This window comes from Homo sapiens, chromosome 16, assembly GCF_000001405.40.
Source record: "Homo sapiens chromosome 16, GRCh38.p14 Primary Assembly".
NCBI classification, from domain to species: domain Eukaryota; kingdom Metazoa; phylum Chordata; class Mammalia; order Primates; family Hominidae; genus Homo; species Homo sapiens.
In genome coordinates, this window is record NC_000016.10 from 70,388,010 (window position 1) to 70,407,413 (window position 19,404).

Genomic DNA, 19,404 nt, shown 5'->3' on the forward strand with positions numbered 1-19,404 from the left:
GCTGAGGCAAGAGAATCGCTTGAACCCGGGAGGCGGATGTTGCAGTGAGCCAAGATCGCGCCATTGCACCCCGGCCTGGGCAACAAGAGCGAAATTCTGTCTCCAAAAAAAAAAAAAAACAAACAAAAAAACAGATCCTTCCTCATCTTTCCACCATCAATATGCTGTGTCACCACACAGGAGGTGACACAGAGCAAGCTGTGCCTTCAGCTCACCCACCAACTTAGGCCCTCCCTTCTCACCAGCCCCTCTTGGCCAAAATGTTCAATGAAAGGAATCCTACAATCTGGCCCCTAGAAGACTCTGCCCAAGATGGTCCTGTCACCCATATTCTACCCAGGCCAGCAAGAAGCTCACAATCGGATCTGCCCCGTGGACAAGGCGCTGGCGATCCACAGAAGGTCCAGGACCTTGAAGGGCACCAGCACGAAGCTGACGTTGGCGGGCAGGTTCTTGGCACTCTCAGGGTACATGAAATGGTGGGTGGTTCGGCTGCCAACATCCTGCTCAAAGCCCACGGTTGGCGCCTGATTCATCCTGCAGGGACAAGAGGGTGACATGAGAATCAACTGCCATGGAAACTGATACAAGATTCTTAGAGGACAGTTCGAAGCCATCCATCAAAAATGCAAACGGGTGTATACTCCAACCTAGCAATTCCATTGCTAGAAATCTGCCCTATAAAAATGGTTACAAAGGTGTGCAAAGATGTGTATGAGGATATTCACTGCAGAATTATTTACAATAGTAACACCAGAATCAATCAAACAGGCCAGGTGTGGTGGCTCACACATGTAATCCAGGCACTTTGGGAGGCCAAGGTGGATGGACTGCTTTGAGGTCAGGAGTTCGAGACCAGCCTTAGCCAACATGGCAAAACCCCATCTTTACTAAAAAAAAAAAAACAAATATAAAATTAGCTGGGCGTGGTGGCATGTACCTGTAATCCCAGCAACCTGGGAGACTGAGGCAGGTGATGTGTTTGAACCTGGAGGCAGAGATTGCAGTGAGCCGACATCGCACCACCGCACTCCAGCCTGGGTGACAGAACAAGACTCTTGTCTCCAAAAAAAAAAAAAAAAAAGGTTGGCCGGGCGCGGTGGCTCACACCTGTAATCCCAGCACTTTGGGAGGCCGAGGTGGGCGGATCACGAGGTCAGGAGATCGAGACCACGGTGAAACCCCATCTCTACAAAAAAAAAAAAAAAAAAAAAAAAAAAAAAAAAAAAAAAAAAGGTTACTAACATTGGGGGCTTAACTCATTTTTACTGTATACATTTTTATTTATTTACTTTTAATTATTATTAGTTTTGAGACAAGGTCTCACTCTGTCACCCAGGCTGGAGTGCAGTGGTGCTATCTCGGCTCACTGCAATCCCCGCCTCCGCCTCCCAGGTTCAAGCGATTCTCCTGCCTCAGCTTCCTCAGTAGACGGGACTACAACATGTGCCAGCATTCCCAGCTAAGTTTTTGGTTGAGACGGATCGCCCTGTCGCCCAGGCTGGAGTCCAGTGGTGCAATCTCACCTCACTGCAACCTCCACCTCCTGGGTTCAAGGGATTCTCCTGCCTCAGCCTCCCAAGTAGCTGGGATTACAGGCGTTAGCCGCTACGTCCAGCTAATTTTTTGTATTTTCAGTAGAGACGGGGTTTCACCCTGATAGCCAGGATGGTCTCCATCTACTGACCTCGTGATGCGCCGGCCTCGGCCTCCCAAAGTGCTGGGATTACAGGCGTGAGCCACCGAGCCCAGCCATTTTGTTTGTTTGGGTTTTTTGTTTGTTTGTTTGTTTTTTGAGACGGAGTCTTGCTCTGTCGCCCAGGCTGGAGTGCAGTGTCACAATCTCGGCTCACTGGAAGCTCCGCCTCCTGGGTTCACGCCATTCTCCTGCCTCAGCCTCCCAAGTAGCTGGGACTACAGGCGCCCGCCATCACGCCCGGCTAATTGTTTGCATTTTTAGTAGAGACAGGGTTTCACCGTGTTAGCCAGGATAGTCTGGATCTCCTGACCTCGTGATCCGCCCACCTCAGTCTCCCAAAGTGCTGGGATTACAGGCGTGAGCCACCACGCTCGGCCCTGTTTGTCTTTTAAGTCTCACTCTGTCACCCAGGCTGGAGTGCAGTGGCACCATCATGGCTCACTGCAGCCTCGACCTCCTGGGTTCAATCAATCCTCCAGCTTCAGCCTCCCGAGTAGCTGGGACCACAGGTCTGCATCACCACGCCTGTTTTGTTTTCTGTTTTGTAGAGATAGGGGTCTCACTGCGTTGTCCAGGCTGGTCTCAATCTCCTGAACTCAAGCAACCCTCCTGCCTCAGCCTCCTGAGTAGCCATAACTACAGGCAGATGACACCAGGCCTGGCCTTTTATAATTTTTTAAAGAAACAACTTATAAAGAACAGCCTTCCGCAGCTTCCACTTCACTTGGCTGTTCTGCCCTCCTTCCTATAAGATGGTGAAAGTAAGATAGGAAGTTCAAGCCTTCCCTCAGGCCCTGGGCCGGATGGAAGCCTCTGTCCTGCCACCCACTACCACCCTATTCCTGTCTGCCGCTTTAAGACCCTGTCTGCCCTTCCACTCCAAGGCCAAGAGAAATGCCCCAAGTTCTGACGGTCTGCCCTTGCTATCTTTCTGGTGATGTGCAATGTCCCCTCTCTCCTGCTGCTGTCTGGACAGAGGGGACATTGCTGTAGCTCCTGTCTGGAAACCTTCTCTGTGGCTATAATAAGCCAAGAAGGCTTCCACTTCCTTTCAATTTGTGCAAAATACAAGACAAGTAAAAACCAAAGCTCCCCTTTTTAGTATGCATCTTACGTAACAGGTGAACCAGGTTTAAACACAAACCTGTTGGTCTTTTTTTTTCTGTTATGACTGTTTACAAGCACATTCCTGTCTCACGTGGACCACACCTTGTGGAATCATGACTACCAAAGCAGGGTGACCGTAACCTGGCCCTCCACTAGGAACACAGGGAGCCAGGGAAGCAGGGAGCGCAGTCTCTAGGTGGCTCTCCTTGCTTTTTATGCCAGTTCTGTAAAACCAGCACAAACATTCCCTGTCCTTAGAGTGGCTGGCACCAGCTAGCTGGGCTGGGTGAGGACTTGCTGTGTTCCAGGGGCTCCCAAGCTGTCTTCCTCAGGGACGGGACTGGGAAGGACCATGGGCTGTGCTGTCCAGGATCACTGTGCCCCCTACCTCTCATTTTCCCTTCCCTTGAGGGTCTGGAGGGTGCTTTGGGGTGGGAGGTCTCAAAACCTAGAGAACCTCTGTGTTCCTAACCACTTCCGTTCTAGCTGGCTTCAAGCAGATGCCCAGAATTTCCTCCAGAGAAACTAACATGCTCTGTCTCCAGAACAGGGATCTACTTCCAGCCTCCCTCTCCCAAATTCATGTCCTTCAGTGAACTGCCCCTTTGAGCCCGGTCTTTAGGGTTTAGAGATCCTGTCTCCTAGAAGAGCCAAGAAGTATCCTTCCCACCCCTGAATAACTCTTAATAGCTTGTGGGCTGCTAAACTCCCCATGCAGGTATTGGTGTCCTATGGTCACACTGACACAGTCTGTATCTGCCTCCTGCCAAGCACCCTGGGGCCTGTGAGGAACAGATCAGTTGGAGAGGAAGCCTTAACAGGGGATGTCAGAGCCAGAAGTGTGTCTCAGCTGCCCAGGGTATGGCAGGGGTAGGCAGGGGGTAGAGGAATTGGGCTGGTGACACAGGCTGGCCGGGGCCTGGGCGGGGCAGGAGCTAGGATCAAGGTATGCTCTTTTTCTTCTCCTTTTTTAAATAGAGATGGGGTTTTGCCATGTTGCCCAAGCTGGTTTCGAGCTCCTGGGCTCAATCAGTTCTCTCGCCTCAGCCTCCCAATGTAGTGGGATTACAGGCGTGAGCCACTGCGCCCAGCCAAGGTGTACACTTGACCTAAGAAACAAACTTCATCTCACCAGAGATGGTGAGGCCAAGAGATCCTGCAGAGCACAGGGCTGCAGCCAGCCCAGGCTGGTTTCTGAAGACCCACCATCTGTCTTCTGCACTGACTTGGCAGCCTGAGCTGTCATGAAGTCCCCATGGGACCTGTCAGCCAGGGTCACCCTGCCTCCAGCGCCTGTGGCTGGCCATGCTGCAGAGCCTGGCCCTCCCTCATTTCCCCATGGTTGGCCAGATACCAGCTTCCAAACATCTGGGAATGAAGGGAGCAAGAGGTCCCAAAATATGTTTCACAGCCTCCAAGGGAAAGGGAAGGAACATGGCACTCTAACAGGGACAAGGTTTTGTTTCAAGGCTCTGATTCATCCTGGAGAAGCCACGCCCTGGAAAGGGGCCAGAGCAGGACGAGGAGGATGAGCTGCATCTCTGGCACTCGGGAACACAGCATTCTAGAAATCTATCTGTCCTTGGCTGCCTCCAGCAGCTAAAGAAGTATTCAGGGACAGGGGCGCAAGTGGGGTGTGTGCCCCCTGGTTAGGACCTGATGTTGGCTGCCTAGTCCCCTTCACTCCTGCATGTATCTGCGGCGTGCCTACTGTCTAGCGGGCACTGTTCTTGGAGTTGTGGATGGATCTGCTGGCCAACTGAGGCAAGACCAGCTCAACTGGACTTGAAGTGGTCCACAGGGCTCAGAGGACAAATAGGAGGAGTGAGTGGCAGCGAGGTGGGTGGGGCACAGGTGGATCAGGCCATCATCTCGCTGTAACTCAGCTCAGCCCTCCAGTGGGTCTTGCTTCCAGGGCCATTGGTTCCAAACTTGGATATGTCTACAATTGGAGTCACCCCCAGTGCCATCTGTTGTTTTTGTTTTTGAGATAGGGTCTTGCTCTGTTGCCCAGGCTGGAGTGCAGTGGTGCCATCATAGCTCACCACAGCCTCAAACTCTTGGGCTCAAACGATCCTCCTGCCTTAGCCTCCCAATTAGCTAGGACTACAGGCTCACACCAACAAGCCCAGCTTATCCACTGCCATCCAGTTCCTCAGACCAGCAGACGGCCAATTACTACCCAGGTCACCCCTTCCAGAAAGTGATTCTGGGGTCCACTCTATACCACCCCCCTTCCTTACCTGGCCCCTGTGAGGAAGCATCTATAAATTTTTTTTTTTTTTTTGAGACAGAGTTTCTCTCTTGTTGCCCAGGCTGAAGTGCAATGGCATGATCTTGGCTCACTGCAACCTCCGCCTCCTGGGTTCAGGCAACCTCAGCCTCCCGAGTAGCTGGGATTATAGTTACCCACCACCACGCCCAGCTAATTTTTGTATTTTTAGTAGAGACAGGGTTTCACAATGTTGTCCAGGCTAGTCTCGAACTCCCGACCTCAGGTAATCTGCCTGCCTCAGCCTCCTAAAGTGCTGGGATTACAGGCATGAGCCACAGCATGTGCAGCCTTATAAATTTCTTTCTGCAGCCCCACCTGACAGTACCGGCCAGATGACTTAGAGGCAGTCCTTTTGGACCTGCAGGGCTTCCACCCAGGAGCTTCCTGACCATCACTGAGGTGCCTGACCAGTGAAAGCTCAAACTTGATGCAGGTGCTTTGGGCACCTAAGAGCATTGTCCTGGGCTTCCCGAGTGCGCAGAGCTGCATGGAAGTGACAGATGCCTCAATTCCCAACCTGGCCATGGTGTCTGGGGAGGGGAGAGGCCCCTCTAAGACCAGCTCCCATCCCATCTCCCTCCCATTGGGGTATCAGCAGTTGGAGGATATGGATACCCTCAGGTGGCTCCGGGGTCCTGGACAGGGTCCACTCCAACCTGCTCACCCTCCCACTTGCACCATTTCCCAACATGAGGAAGGTCTTACATGGAATGCTGAATGCCTCCGAGACATATTGCTGCCTTCGTGTTGCTATGGAGACAGCAACAGTTTCTAAGACAAAGCCCTTCCTTCTGCCTCCTGGGAAACCTGGTCTTAACTGCAATGCTCATCCTAAGAGATGCGTGAAAACTGGGCATTGGCAGGAGCTCTGTTCTTCAGGCTCTTCCTCTACCAAGGAGTCGGGTAGGAGGCATTTCTTGTCCCCAGCCAAGTCAAGGGGGGATGTCAGAAAACGCAGGCTCTGGAGCAGAGCAAGCAGCCCACGTTCAGGTCGTGAGCCTGCCCCCTATTCCCTGTTCACGCCCAGGCCTTCATTGCAGAGTCTCGGTCAAGACTGAACGCCCTCCCAACTCTTCTCCCTTCCTCACGGCTGGGCATAGAGGTCTTGGGAATGAATGAGCCCTAGAGCAAATACCGAACAGCTCCTTTCAGCACCCACAACATCTGCCTTCTATGCATCTGCCAGCGAGAATCACCTGCTGCTATGAAGCAGGATGCTAGCTGGGCTTGGGGCCCTCACTCCTTGCCCAGCTGCTGAGGGGATGAGGAGGACAGGGCCGGCTTCTGATGGGAATTTTTGTTTTTGAGACAGGGTCTCAGTCTATTGCCCAGGCTGGAGTGAACTGGTGCAATCATAGCTCACTGTAGCCTCAAACTCCTGGGTTCAAGCAATCCTCCTGCCTCAGCCACCCCAGTAGCTGGAAATACAGACACGCCACAATGCCCAGCTAATCTTTAAAAATTTTTTGTAGACACAGGGTTTCGCCATGTTACCTAGGCTGGTCTCTAACTCCTGGGCTCAAGCGATCCTCCCACCTCAGCCTCTCAAAGCGCTGGAATTACAGGTGTGAACCACCATGCCCTGCCTCTGATGGGATTTTTCACCAAACAATCAGCCAGGAATCTAATGTCAGCTCTTTCCAGAGGAATTCAGAGCCTTGGAAACAGAGTGCAGGCCTCAAGCAAAGCTTAGATTTGGGATTCTGTCTCCCCATCCACCCCAAACAGGTAAAGGAGAGAGCTCCAAGCCTGCTGTGAAAGACTCTGGGAGGCAGGGCCCCACAGCACACCGGTAGCTGGCAGCATGCACCCTGCCAGACAAGGCAGAGGAGGGCAGTCCCCTTCCCGGAGGCCCATCCTGAGCCCACCCTTGGGCTCCACAGGGGCTCACCTCATGATGAAGTTGTGCCCGTCCACGTCCTGCCCATAGCCAGAGCCCCGCAGGTTGCCCGAGTTCCCCACCACGGCACAGCGCCGGCACTGGTGGGGGTCCCGGAAGCGGTAGGGGTTCTCGCCAGGCACTATCTGGAACAGCTTCTCCAGCACCTCATTGGTGTTGTGTGACTTGAACTGGGGCTGCAGCATCTGTGGAAGGGAGGGGAAGATGGGAAACGAGGAAGGGGAGAGGTGTGTGAAGAAGGAGGGGCCCCGGCCTCCCCTCCTCTGCCCTCACTATCCTGTGTCTGGGCACAGGCCTCTTTATCCAGGGCTCTGCCAGGGAACAGGGGTTCTTTCCTCTGGGCAGTGAGGGTCTCTCCCTCTCTCAACAACAGCAAAGTCCCCGGTTGTGAGTGAGTCTCAATGTCCAGAGATTGGGTGCCCTGCTAGTCACAGTTAGCTCTGATGCACTAGAAGGGGCTCAGGGATCAAGGTGCCTTTCACACATTCTCTGGGAACCTGCAGGCCTGGGCCACGGAGCAGAGCAGCCTCCTTCAGGGGATCCTTCCTGGTCAGCCTACAGGGGGCGCCCCTGGCACTCAGGCTGAGGACTGGGGTTGCAGAAGCCACGTCCAGGGTGACAGTCCAGCCACTCCCTGAGCCCCAGGGAAGGGCAGAGAGGCTGATAAATTCTTTCAGAGCCAGAATGGCTGGAATAAAACTGGTGTCCCCTCCTACCAGCGAGACCTGTACCAACCAACTAATGGTCAAAGACCATGAAACGAGGCAGCACCAACCAGATGCTTACAGGCCCAGCAAGTGCCACACAGGAGTGACATGGCAGGTAAGGTCCACAGCCAACAGATCTGAGCCCCGGCAAAGAGAGGCAACTTCAGCCAATTGCTGCCACGTGGGATCATGAGCCCAGAAGGGCCAAAGTTTCCCATTTTTCAAGACACACTGAAAATAAGGATTTCATATGAAACAAGAAAAATGAAATACTCTTTTTTTTTTTTTTTTGAGATAGAGTTTCACTCTTGTCGCCCAGGCTGGAGTGCAATGGCGCGATCTTGGCTCACCGCAACCTCCGCCTCCCGGGTTCAAGGGATTCTCCTGCCTCAGCCTCCCGAGTAGCTGCAATTACAGGCATGCTTCACCATACCCTACTAATTTTGTATTTTTAGTAGATATGGGGTTTCTTCATGTTGGTCAGGCTGGTCTCGAACTCCCAACCTCAGGTGATCTACCGCCTTGGCCTCCCAAGGTGGTGGGATTACTTTTACTCAAAAGTAAATTACTTTTACTCAAAGTGCTGGAATTATTTTTACTCAAAAAAAAAAAAAAAAACCCACATAAAAATAAAATAAAACATTATGTGGATGGAGCCATAACTTGATGGGTTTGTGGGTGAGCAGGGCCTGCTCAGGGGATGGGAGATTGATCTGTAGAGGGAGCTTGGCTCCAAGATGAGAATTCCTATATAAAAATTAGCCAGGCGTGGTGGCACGTGCCTGTAGTCCCAGCTACTCTGAAGCTGAGGTGGGAGGATCGCTCGAGCCTTGGGGATCAAGGATGCAGTGAGCCAAGACTGTGCCACTGCAAAGACAGTGAGAACCTGTATCAAAAAAAAGCTGTCACAGTAAGAGCCCACGGGGCTCCTAGTGGCCCCAGCTCTGCAGACCCTGGTCCTCGGGCACTCTTGACAGTCTAGGCTGGAAGGCAGGTTCTGTGACATCATTCTGATAAGCCTGATCACATGAGCTCATCCCTTGCAGCTTGGGAGCCTGCAGGGACTCAGTGCTGACATGGCTCCACCCATGACATGTGTGGCAACCAGATGGCCTGCAGAGCCTGGGGAGTGACACTCCAGAGCCTTGGGGCAAGGTAGAAGGAATTAAAAGTAGCAGAAAAGTGATGACTGGAAAGACAGGGAGGACCCCCCCAGCCCCACCCCTTCACCTCCCTTAGCCCCTGAGGGTTCTTTTCATTGCTTGTTTTTTTTTAACTCTAGAATCAGACAACACATTATTTCATAAAATAGATTAAGTAGTCCCTGCACGGCTTTCTTTTCTTTCTTTTTTTTTTTTTTTTGAGACGGAGTCTCACTTTGTTGCCCAGCTGGAGTGCAATGGTGCAATCTCGGCTCACTGCAACCTCCGCCTCCCAGGTTCAAGCGATTCTCCTGCCTCAGCCTCCTGAGTAGCTGGGATTACAGGCACGCACCACCATGCCTGGCTAATTTTTTTTCATTTTTAGTAGAGACGGGGTTTCACCACGTTGGTCAGGCTGGTCTCGAACTCCTGACCTCATGATCCGTCCGCCCTGTGCTCTCAAAGTGCTGAGATTACAGGCGTGAGCCACCATGACCGGCCTTCCCTACAAGGCTTTCTTATCCCAGCCCAGTAAAAAGTCTTCTAGCAGTTGTAAAGAACCAAGAAAGGGGCTCTGTTCTCATGGTATTTACAATTATTTTGGCTGGGCATGGTGGCTCACGCCTGTAATCCCAGCACTTTGGGAAGCTGAGGCGGGCAGATCATCTGAGGTCAGGAGTTTGAGATCAGCCTGGCCAACATGGTGAAACCCCGTCTGTACTAAAAATACAAAAAAATTAGCTGAGAGGGGTGGTGCATGCCTATAATTCCAGCTACTTGGGAGGCTGAGGCAGGAGAATCACTTGAACCTGGGAGGCAGAAGTTACAGTGAGCCATCACTGTGCCACTGCACTCCAGCCTGGGCGACAGAATGAGACTCCATCTCAAAAAACAAACAAACAAATAAAAAACAATTATTTTGAGCCAATGTTCATAAATTAGGATATTTAGTTTTAAAATCTGGATTTCTAGGTTTTCTTAAAAAAAAAACAAAAAACCCAGATCCAGCCTTGTGCAGCAACAACTGCTGGGGCCGAGGGGCGGCTGCCTCCTTCCTCTGGGGCAGGCCCCCCATGGCTGTACTCCTCACTGCCACCTGCTCCCTGTGTCCCTGCTGCCTGCCTGGTCCAGGAGGCATTTCTGGCCTATGCTCGGGTCCTACAGGCACTAGAAAATACTAGCCCCCTCCATCAGGTCAGTGCTTGCTCTGCCCTTCAGTAATCTGTGATCCTATAAATGGCTTGGTCAAACAGGCATTTTGTCAAGGCTCTGGGGGCCAGAAATCCAAGAGGGGGCTCTGAGTGGCTCTAAAACTGGGGGACAGATCCCTGGAAGGGAGCAGCAGCTCTTACCATCCACCACCTCTGGACGTCCGGTGGAAGATCCATGTTCTCTCGGGTCCAGACGGGGGAAATGTTACCGTCAAAGTGGCTGTCAAACCAGTCGGAGGCACCGGCATCGCCCATGCAGCGGCGACAGGCACAGCTCTTGCCCGAGAGCCTCTCCTTGCTGAGGCGCTGCAGGCCGGCATAGCCGGGCACCAGCTTCACCCGGTGCGTCCCATCCAGGGCCCCTGAGTCCAGGTAGGGGAGCGTGGCCATGCTGTGGTGCGAGTAGGTGAAGAGCAGGGACATGATGAACACCAGCAGGAAGGCCACGGAGAGGAACCACACCCGCAGGGAGCACTTCATGGTGCCGGCAGGCGGGTGACGGTCACCGTGGCCACTCTTTTCCCAGCCCGCTGAGGGGCCAGCCACGGCGTAGCCTGCCTATTCTGGCACCACATGCAAAGGGCATAGGGGCACGTGCTGCAGCAGGGGACAGTGGCAGGGGTCCCTTGCCACGCCCTCCCTCATGTAGGGAGAACACACGTTGGCAGGAGTGGCTGTCCTGTCCCTGAGTCAGGCGGGGCCCCTGCTTAGGGCTTCATCGGGTCTCTCCGTCACTAGCTAGGCCACAGAGGCTCTGCCTCTCCTGCCACCCTGGTGAGGGGGAGGTCAGTCCATTGCAGCCCTCTAGTCCCTTGGGATTGCTGGCTGCCAGCTCTAGGGGTCCCCCTCTTTGGCGGCTTGAAATAATCCAGTCTGGAGCAGTCGGGGTCCTTGTGGTTCATGAGCAGACAATGAGGCGGCCCCTCGTTCCCGGCAGCGGGGAAGCCCTAGAACTCCAATCACAACAGAGAGCACAGGGGCTTCAGGGGACTTGGGTTCCATGCAAGTGTTGTCCCACCTCCTGGCCCAAAACCTCTGCCAGAGGAGGGGAGCCAGACCCCAACCCTGAGAGGACAAAAACAGGAAGCTCTGTGAGTGTGGGAAAACTCCGCTGCAGAGATCGAGATCCTTTCCGCAGTAGGTCTTGCCCTTCTGCTTCCCATCTGAGGTGCTGGTCCCTTCTCCTGGTGGCCCCAGCCCCAGCTGCAGTTGCGTAGGGGTCGCAAAGCTCCTACTGTGGCTGTGGGGTCCTCTGGCGCTGGGAACAGCTGCTGTTCAGCGGGGCACTGTGTCCAATACCATCTGGGTCAGGCGAGCTTGTGCTGAGCTCCCTACCAGGGTCCAGGTCTCCTTCCTAATACTCCTGGCCCAGGTTCTGCCCATCCCCACTCCCCCGGGGCCAGCCTATCCTGCTGTGAGCTCACAGTAATCCCCTGGCAGGTTCCCCTTCACATGTCGGGCGCCAGGCTGCCGCAGCACGACCCTAGAATGGCAGAGAGGAGAAATAATGTGCGGATGAATCACACGGGCACCAGGCTTTGTCCCAGCCCCACCCCAAGCCCCAAAGCTAGCAGGAGAGGAGATGCCCACTTAATCAGAGGGTGGACATGACCAAGGGCTCTGCCCTCTAGCTGCACAGATAGCATCACTGTGTGGGACTCCAGGGCCTGGAGGACTAGATTAGCCCAGAGTCTTCACTTCTTAGCCAGAAGGTAAACGAGTCAAGTGATTTTCCCTAAGCCACATGCTTTCAGATTTAGAGAGTTCCTAGCCCAGCTATGTACAGTTAATTTCAGGTGAAAAGTCAGAGAAAACAGCCCAGAGAAGATTCCAGGGGACTATGGACACTGACTGCCCCCCACAGCACTCTCTGGAGCCTGTCAGTGCCTGCAGAGGCCTCTCCCAATCAGAAGGGAGGGCTGGCCGGTCTCTGACCGCCCCTCTTCTCTCGACTGTGGATTATCGATGAGGTATTGCTGGGTCCACTCAATGAACCATGAACAGTCCTGTCAGCTCCGCCGTTGGGGGAGAACCTGGCTGTGTCAGGAGGTGTGGTTGCTGGGCTTGGTCCTGCCCCCGGACAGCCCTGAGGGCAGTTGTCTACATCCATCTGTACATTATGGACAAAGTGAATGCCAGCGTCCCTGGTAGCACTGACAGCCTGAGGCCCCATGCTGCCCTTGCAGGCAAGAACAGGGAGAAAAGGCCACTTGTAGGCAGTTTGGGTCTCAGCCATAAGGAAAGGAGCTCAGATCCATGCCAAGCGTGAGGGAGCCACACCAGGTGAGAGGAACGCTGAGAAGGGAACCCCTGAGCACTGGCTGTGTGCCGTGGGAATCTTGCAAAGCTGGCTGCCTCGCCTCTCCCCAGCTCCCCTCCAAATCTGCCTAGCGGTGCTGCTGACCTAGCCCCTGGGCCTCTCAGTGCAGCCCTGTTCCCTGTCCTTGTTGAAGTCTCCAGCCCACTTTTGGGGTCTCCTGGCTGCTTCCAGCAGCTGCATACAAGGCCTCTCAGGCTCTGTGTTCAAGAAACGTAGCTGCCCCTCCATTTGTGGCCACAAAGCCAGCAGGGAATGGAACGAGCATATTGCAGTAAGGACATTATTCTGGGTGAGAAATGATGTTCACAAAAGTACAAGAACTTACCTAAGGTCACGACGTTGTGAGTGGAGGTGACTTTGGGATAGGCCATGGCACAGAAAGAAGGCTGTGGCCTCCCTGAACTACCCACGGCTCAAGGGTGAGAGGGAAGGAGATGTGGAGTTGGCTTCTCAGGGTCGAAAGTGAAGCCCCGCCCACAGGCCTCATCAGGGCTCCTGGCTCTAATCCACGGAGACCCCAGCAGCACTGGCTCAAAGGTGCTTCTTCCAATGTTCTGCTGTGCCCATTTAGCAGATCCCACTCTAGGCATGGCCTTGGCTGAACAGTCTGTAGATGGGAAGCCAGGTCCTTGTCTCCTCTCATTCTCCCTTTGCCTGCTGCATGCCCAACATCTAAGGACAGAACTCGAGTTCTTTCAGGGTCCCGCTCCCAGCTTCCTGTGACCTGAGGAGAGCCAGTCATGAGGCAGGTGGCCCTGGAAGACAGTGACTTTGCAGCTGATGGGAGCGAGAGGTCCTGCCTGGGGAGACCTGGTTTCTGGCTGGGCAGCCCCGCAGTGGCCACTGAAGGCGGGGGCTGGGCAGAGCTGGCACAGGAGGCTTCCAAAGGAAGCAACTCAATCAGGGAAGTCATTAACTCCTTGGGATTCTAGATCAACGCAGGGGGCACGCGAAGGAACTGCACTGCCTGTTAGGGAGGGGAAAATCCCTGGTTTTGACATGTCTGGAAAGAGCAGAGAAGTAGAGGAAAGAGCAGAGAAGTAGAGCATCTGGCAAAGGCCCTTGCTTTGGGAACCCCAGGTCCAGGTGTTACTGCAAATACAGGATGCTCAGCTTGTTGTGGTGAGGGCAAATGGAGCCATGGGGAGGAGCTAAAAAAAAAATCAAAGGCCCCCAAACATGCACTAAAAATCCCAAAAATGACCTGGCAATGACCCTCTCACAGTTCATTTCTACCTGTGCCCCTCAGCTGCCCACCACGTCATGGGCTTGCTCCCCTTCACAGCTACTCAGATCATTTTGTTAAGCCCATGCACACCTCAATATAAAGAGCTCGGAGGAGGCAGGCCCAATGGCTCATGCCTATAATCCCACCACTTTGGGAGCCTGAGGTGGGTGTATCACCTGAGGTCAGGATTTCAAGACCAGCCTGGCCAACATGGTGAAACCCCATCTCTACTAAAAATACAAAAAATCAGCCAGGCGTTGTGGTGGCCACCTATAATTCCAGCTATGCAGGAGGCTTAGGCAGGAGAATCACTTGAACCCAGGAGGCGGAGGTTGCAGTGCGCCAAGATCACGCCATTGTACTCCAGCCTGGGCGACAAGAGCAAAACTCTGCCTCAAAAAAAAAAAAAAAAAAAAAAAGACCAGGCATGGTGGCTTACACCTGTAATCCCAGCACTTTCGGAGGCCGAGGCGGGTGGATCACCTGAGGTTGGGAGTTCGAGACCAGCCTGACCAACGTGAAGAAACCCCATCTCTACTAAAAATACAAAATTAGCCGGGCATGGTGGCACATGCCTGTAATCCCACCTACTTGGGAGGCTGAGGCAGGAGAATCGCTTGAACCCAGGAGTGGGAGATCGTGCCAATGCACTCTAGCCTGGGCAACAAGAGCGAAACTATTTCTCAAAAAAAAAAAAAAAAAAAAAAAAAGAATGGATAAATTGTGGTGCATTTTGTACCATATAGTAAAATGAATGAACTCCGGTTTCAGACATTAACAGGGATGAATATGGCCAAAAAACATTATATCGAGCAAAAAGAGTAGTCATGGATAAATGATCACAGCATGAATCCATGAAAAGCTAAAAAATACGCAAAGCTAAGCAAGACATTTTCTATGCCTCTCTATAAAGATAATAATAGAGAAAATCAAGGAAACAACACAAAATTCAGGGAATTCCTCTGGAGGGGGAAGAGAGGTAGATGAAATAAGGAGGGCTGAAGAGGCTTCAGGAGTACTGGGTACCTTGTAATCCAGGTGGTGGGTACAGAAGTATTTTTTTTTCTTTTGAGACGGAGTCTTGCTCTGTCACCAGGCTGGAGTGCAGTGGCGTGATCTTGGCTCACTGCAGCCTCCGCCTCCTGGGTTCAAACGATTCTCCTGTCTCAGCCTCCTGAGTAGCTGGGATTACAGGCATGTGCCACCACACCCAGCTAATTTTTTGTATTTTTAGTAGAGATGGGGTTTCACCATGTTGGCCAGGCTGGTCTTTAACTCCTGACCTCAGGTGATCCACCCGCCTCAGCCTCCCAAAGTGCTGGGATTACAGGCATGAGCCACTGCGCCTAGCCATGGAGTATTTCTTATGTTTATTCTGTAAAGAGCACAAATACGATATATACTACTTTGAGTCTATGATGCATTTCGTAGTAAAATCTAAAATGCTTTTAGGTTAAAACATGTTTTATTAAAGCACTACTCTGGCTGTTGCGTAAGACTAGCAGGGAGACCAGAAAGGAACTGTTGCAATATCCCAGGTGGTGGAGGTGGTGAGAAATGGCTGGATGTACTCTGAAGGGCTTAACTAGTAGGGTAGTTGGAGGGTACAAGGAGGGGGCCCATGGGGAAGGGAAGAGGGGAGCAGGGTGGGAAGAGGAAGACAGGAATCAGGGAGATATGGAGGCTGTGGCCTGAGCAACCTTGTGGATGGGGCTGTCATTCACTATACAGAAAAGACAGAAAATTAATGGGTTTGGCTGAGAAAAAACAAAAGTTCTGGTTAAATTTAAGATGTCTTTTAGGCCAGCTGTGGTGGCTCATGTCTGTAATCCCAACATTTTGGGAGGCCAAGGCGGGAGGATCACTTGAGGTCAGGAGTTTGAGACCAGCCTGGGCAACACAGCAAGACCCCATCTCCACAAAAAAGTAAAAACGTTGGGCATGAAGGCTCATGCCTGTAATCCCAACACTTTGGGAGGCCGAGGCGGGCGGATCATGAGGTCGGGAGATTGAGACCTTCCTGGCCAACATGGCGAAACCCCATCTCTACTAAAAATACAAAATATTAGCTGGGCGTGGTGGTGGGTGCCTGTAATCCCAGCTACTCGGGAGGCTGAGGCAGGAGAATTGCTTGAACCAGGGAGTCAGAGGTTGTGTGAGCTGAGATTGCACCACAGCACTCCAGCCTGGTGACAGAGTGAGACACTGTCTCAAGCAAACAAACAAACAAAAAAGTAAAAACATTAGCTGGGCATGGTGGCAGGTGCCTGTAGTCAGTCCTACCTACTCAGGAGGCTTAGGCATAAGGATCACTTGAGCCCAGGAGTTCAAGGTTGCAGTGAGCCGTGATCATGCCATGGCACTCCAGGATGGGTGACAGAGTGATACCACAACTCGAAAAAAAAAAGAAAGTTTTTTAGACATCCACATGCAGTTGGAAACAGGCAGTTGAACACACCTGTTTGAAGCTCATGGGTGAGGTCAGAGTTAGAGGGATATATCTGAGAGTCATCAGAGTACAGTTCATTCTTAAAACTACAGGACCAGAAGAAAAGATCTAGGGAGGGTCTACCACAGACAAGAGTAGGCGGCTCAGGACAAAGCCTGGGGTACTCTGCTGTCTGAAAGAGAAGCCAGGAAAGAAACAGCCAATGAGGCAGGGGGAAAAACAGCCCTGCATCTGGGAAGCCAAGAGAAGAAAGTTTCGAGAATGAAGGAGGAATTAACAGTGTCAAGTGTTTGAAAAAGTAAGGCGAGGACTGAGAACTGACCACTGGATGGAGGGCAGTGGTGACCTTCACAATGACTGATCCAGGGGTATTGCGAGGCTCAAGCACAGGAAAAGATGCTCAACGTCATTAATCATCAGGGAAATGCAAATCAAAACCACAATCAGATACCACTTCCTGCCCATCAGGGTGGCTGTAACCAACAAGACAGATAATAACCAGTGTTAGTGAGGACGCAGAGACATTGGAACCCTCAGACTTTGCTATTGGGAATGTGAAATGGTGCAGTCGCTTTGGGCAACAGTCTGGCAGTTCCTCAAAAGATTAAATATACAGTCACCATAATATATGACTCAGCAATTCCACTTCTAGGTATATACTCAAGAGAAATGAAAACTTAGGTTCACATAAAAACTTGTACACATGGCCGGGCACGGTGGCTCACACCTGTAATCCCAGCACTTTGGGAGGCCAAGATGGGCAGATCACGAGGTCAAGAGATCAAGACCATCTGGCCAACTTGGTGAAACCCCATCTCTGTTAAAAATACAAAAATTAGCTGGGCATGGCTGGCGTGCGCCTGTAGTCCCAGCTACTCAGGAGGCTGAGGCAGGAGAATCGCTTGAACTTGGGAGGCAGAGGTTGCAGTGAGCCGAGATCGCACCACTGCACTCCAGCCTGGCGACAGAGTGAGACTCCATCTCAAAAAAAAAAAAAAAACACCTCATACACAAATGATTTATAGCAGCATTATTCATAAGAGTGCCAACATGGAAACAACTCAAAGTTCCATCAACCAATACATAAATAAACAAAATGTGGTATATCCATACAAGGGAGTATTATTCAGATATAAAAAGGAATCAAGTTCTGGCACTGCTACAGCATGGATGAACTTGAAAACCCTGTGCTAAGTGAAAGGAGCCAGGCACAGCCTGGTGCGGTGGCTCACGCCTGTAATCCCAGCACTTTGGGAGGCCGAGGCAGACGGATCACGAGGTCAGGAGATCGAGACCATCCTGGTTAACATGGTGAAACCCCATCTCTACTAAAAACACAAAAAATTAGCCGGGCATGGTGGCGGGAGCCTGTAGTACCAGATACTCGGAAGGCTGAGGCAGGAGAATGGCATGAACCCGGGAGGCGGAGCTTGCAGTGAGCCGAGATTGCGCCACTGCACTCCAGCCTGGGTGACACAGTGAGACTCCGTCTTAAAAAAAAAAAAAAAAAAAAAAAAAAGGAAAAAAAGGAATAAGGCACAAAAGGCCCCATGCCAGATGATTTATGTAAAATGTACAGAATAGGCAAATCCATAGAGACAGACAGTAGATTACCAGTTGCCAGGGGCTGGAGGATAGAGAAGAATGGGGAATGACTGCCAGTGGGTTGGAGTTTTCTTCTGGGGTGATGTTCCAAAATTGTTTGTGGTGAATAGGTTAAAAGCCACTGACAGCCAGGCGCGGTGGCTCACGCCTGTAATCCCAGCACTTTGGGAGGCCGAGGCAGGTGGATCACGAGGTCAGGAGATCAAGACCATCCTGGCTAACATGGTGAAACCCCGTCTCTACTAAAAACACAAAAAAATTAGCCAGGCATGGTGGCGGGCGCCTGTGGTCCCAGCTACTCAGGAGGCTGAGGCAGGAGAATGGCGTGAACCCGGGAGGCAGAGCTTGCAGTGAGCCGAGATCATGCCACTGCACTCCGGCCTGGGCAACAGAGCAGGACTCCGTCTCAAAAAAAAAAAAAGCCACTGACTTGTATGTTTCAAAGAGATGAACTGCATGGTGTGTGAATTATAGCTCAATAAAGGTGTTACAACAAAAAGAGAGAATGGTGCTGGGCGTGGTGGCTCACCCCTGTAATCCCAGCACTCTGGCAGGCCGAGGTGGGCAGATCACCTGGGGTCAGGAGTTCAAGATCGGCCTGGCCAACATGGTGAAACCCCATCTCTACTAAAAATAACAAAACTTAGCTGTGGGTGGTGGCAGGGCCAACATGGTGAAACCCCATCTCTACTAAAAATAACAAAAATTAGCCGGGGGGTGGTGGCAGAGGCACCTGTAGTCCCAGCTACTAGGGAGGCTGAGGCAGGAGAAATGCTTGAACCCAGGAGGTGGAGGTTGCAATGAGCCGAGATTATGCCACTGCACTCCAGCCTGGGCTGGAGTGGGGGGCCAGGCACAGTGGCTCACAGCTGTGATCCCAGCACTTTGGGATGCCGAGGGTGGCGGATCTCCTGAGGTTAGGAGTTTGAGACCAGCTTGGCCAACATGGCAAAACCCCATCTCTACTAAAAATACAAAAATTAGCTGGGTGTGGTGGCATGCGCCTGTAATCCCGCTACTTCGGAGGCTGAGGCAGGAGACTCGCTTGAACCTGGGAGGTGGAGGTTGCGGTGAGCCAAGATCGTGCCACCGCACTCCAGCCTGGGTGACAGAGTGAGACTCTGTCTCAAAAAAAAAAAAGGAATGGGATGTAAGAGAGTGGAATGTGGAATGGGATTCAGCTGAGAGATGGTCTAGAATGTGTGTACACTGATGGGAATGAATTATTAGAGGGGAAATTTATGATCCAGGAAAAAGAAGTGAACAGAGGAACAAAGGCCGGGAGCAGCACGAGATGATGGCATCGAGTGTCGTCCTGGAGGGGGGCTACCTGTGGGACAGGTGGCAAAGCCGAGCAAGCGGCACAGACAGTGAGGAGTGTCCCTTTATTGTTGGGGTTGGAGATTTACAGAGAGACCAGATGTGAAATAGTCTTCTAAAAGAGAAAGGGAGTAACTAGGGAAATTTAGGAGGTGGCAAGACAACACTATGGCCTTTTTTTTTTTTTTTATGGAGTCTCACTCGGTTGCCCAGGCTGGAGTGCAGTGGCGCAATATTGGCTCACTGCAACCTCCACCTCCTGGGTTCAAGCAATTCTCCTGCCCCAGCCTCCCAAGCAGCTGGCACTATAGGCCCGTGCCACCACGCCCAGCTAATTTTTGTATTTTCAACAGAGATGAGGTTTCGCCATGTTGGCTAGGCTGGTCTCAAACTCCTGACCTCAAGTGATCCGCCTGCCTCGGCCTCCCCAGGTGCTGGAAT

General features: G+C 52.2%; 1 protein-coding gene across 1 annotated transcript in view, besides 1 other annotated feature; it reads right to left on the reverse strand.

Moving 5' to 3' along the window:
- The window catches only part of ST3GAL2 (ST3 beta-galactoside alpha-2,3-sialyltransferase 2), a 63,124-nt gene that overhangs the window by 12,033 nt on the left and 31,687 nt on the right, over positions 1–19,404 (reverse strand). The window contains exons 2-4 of the mRNA NM_006927.4: positions 10,183–11,524; positions 6,973–7,166; positions 358–537 (exon numbers count right to left, since the gene is read on the reverse strand). Coding sequence (NP_008858.1) covers positions 358–537; positions 6,973–7,166; positions 10,183–10,521 — 713 coding nt within the window. The 5' untranslated portion in view covers positions 10,522–11,524. The remainder of the gene's footprint in view (positions 1–357; positions 538–6,972; positions 7,167–10,182; positions 11,525–19,404) is intronic.
- Positions 16,653–16,822: an enhancer, noted in NCBI's record as "active region_11056". NCBI's record gives its function as "activates an Ori minimal core promoter by ATAC-STARR-seq in GM12878 lymphoblastoid cells {active_cell/tissue: GM12878}" and the evidence as "EXISTENCE:reporter gene assay evidence [ECO:0000049][PMID:35858748]".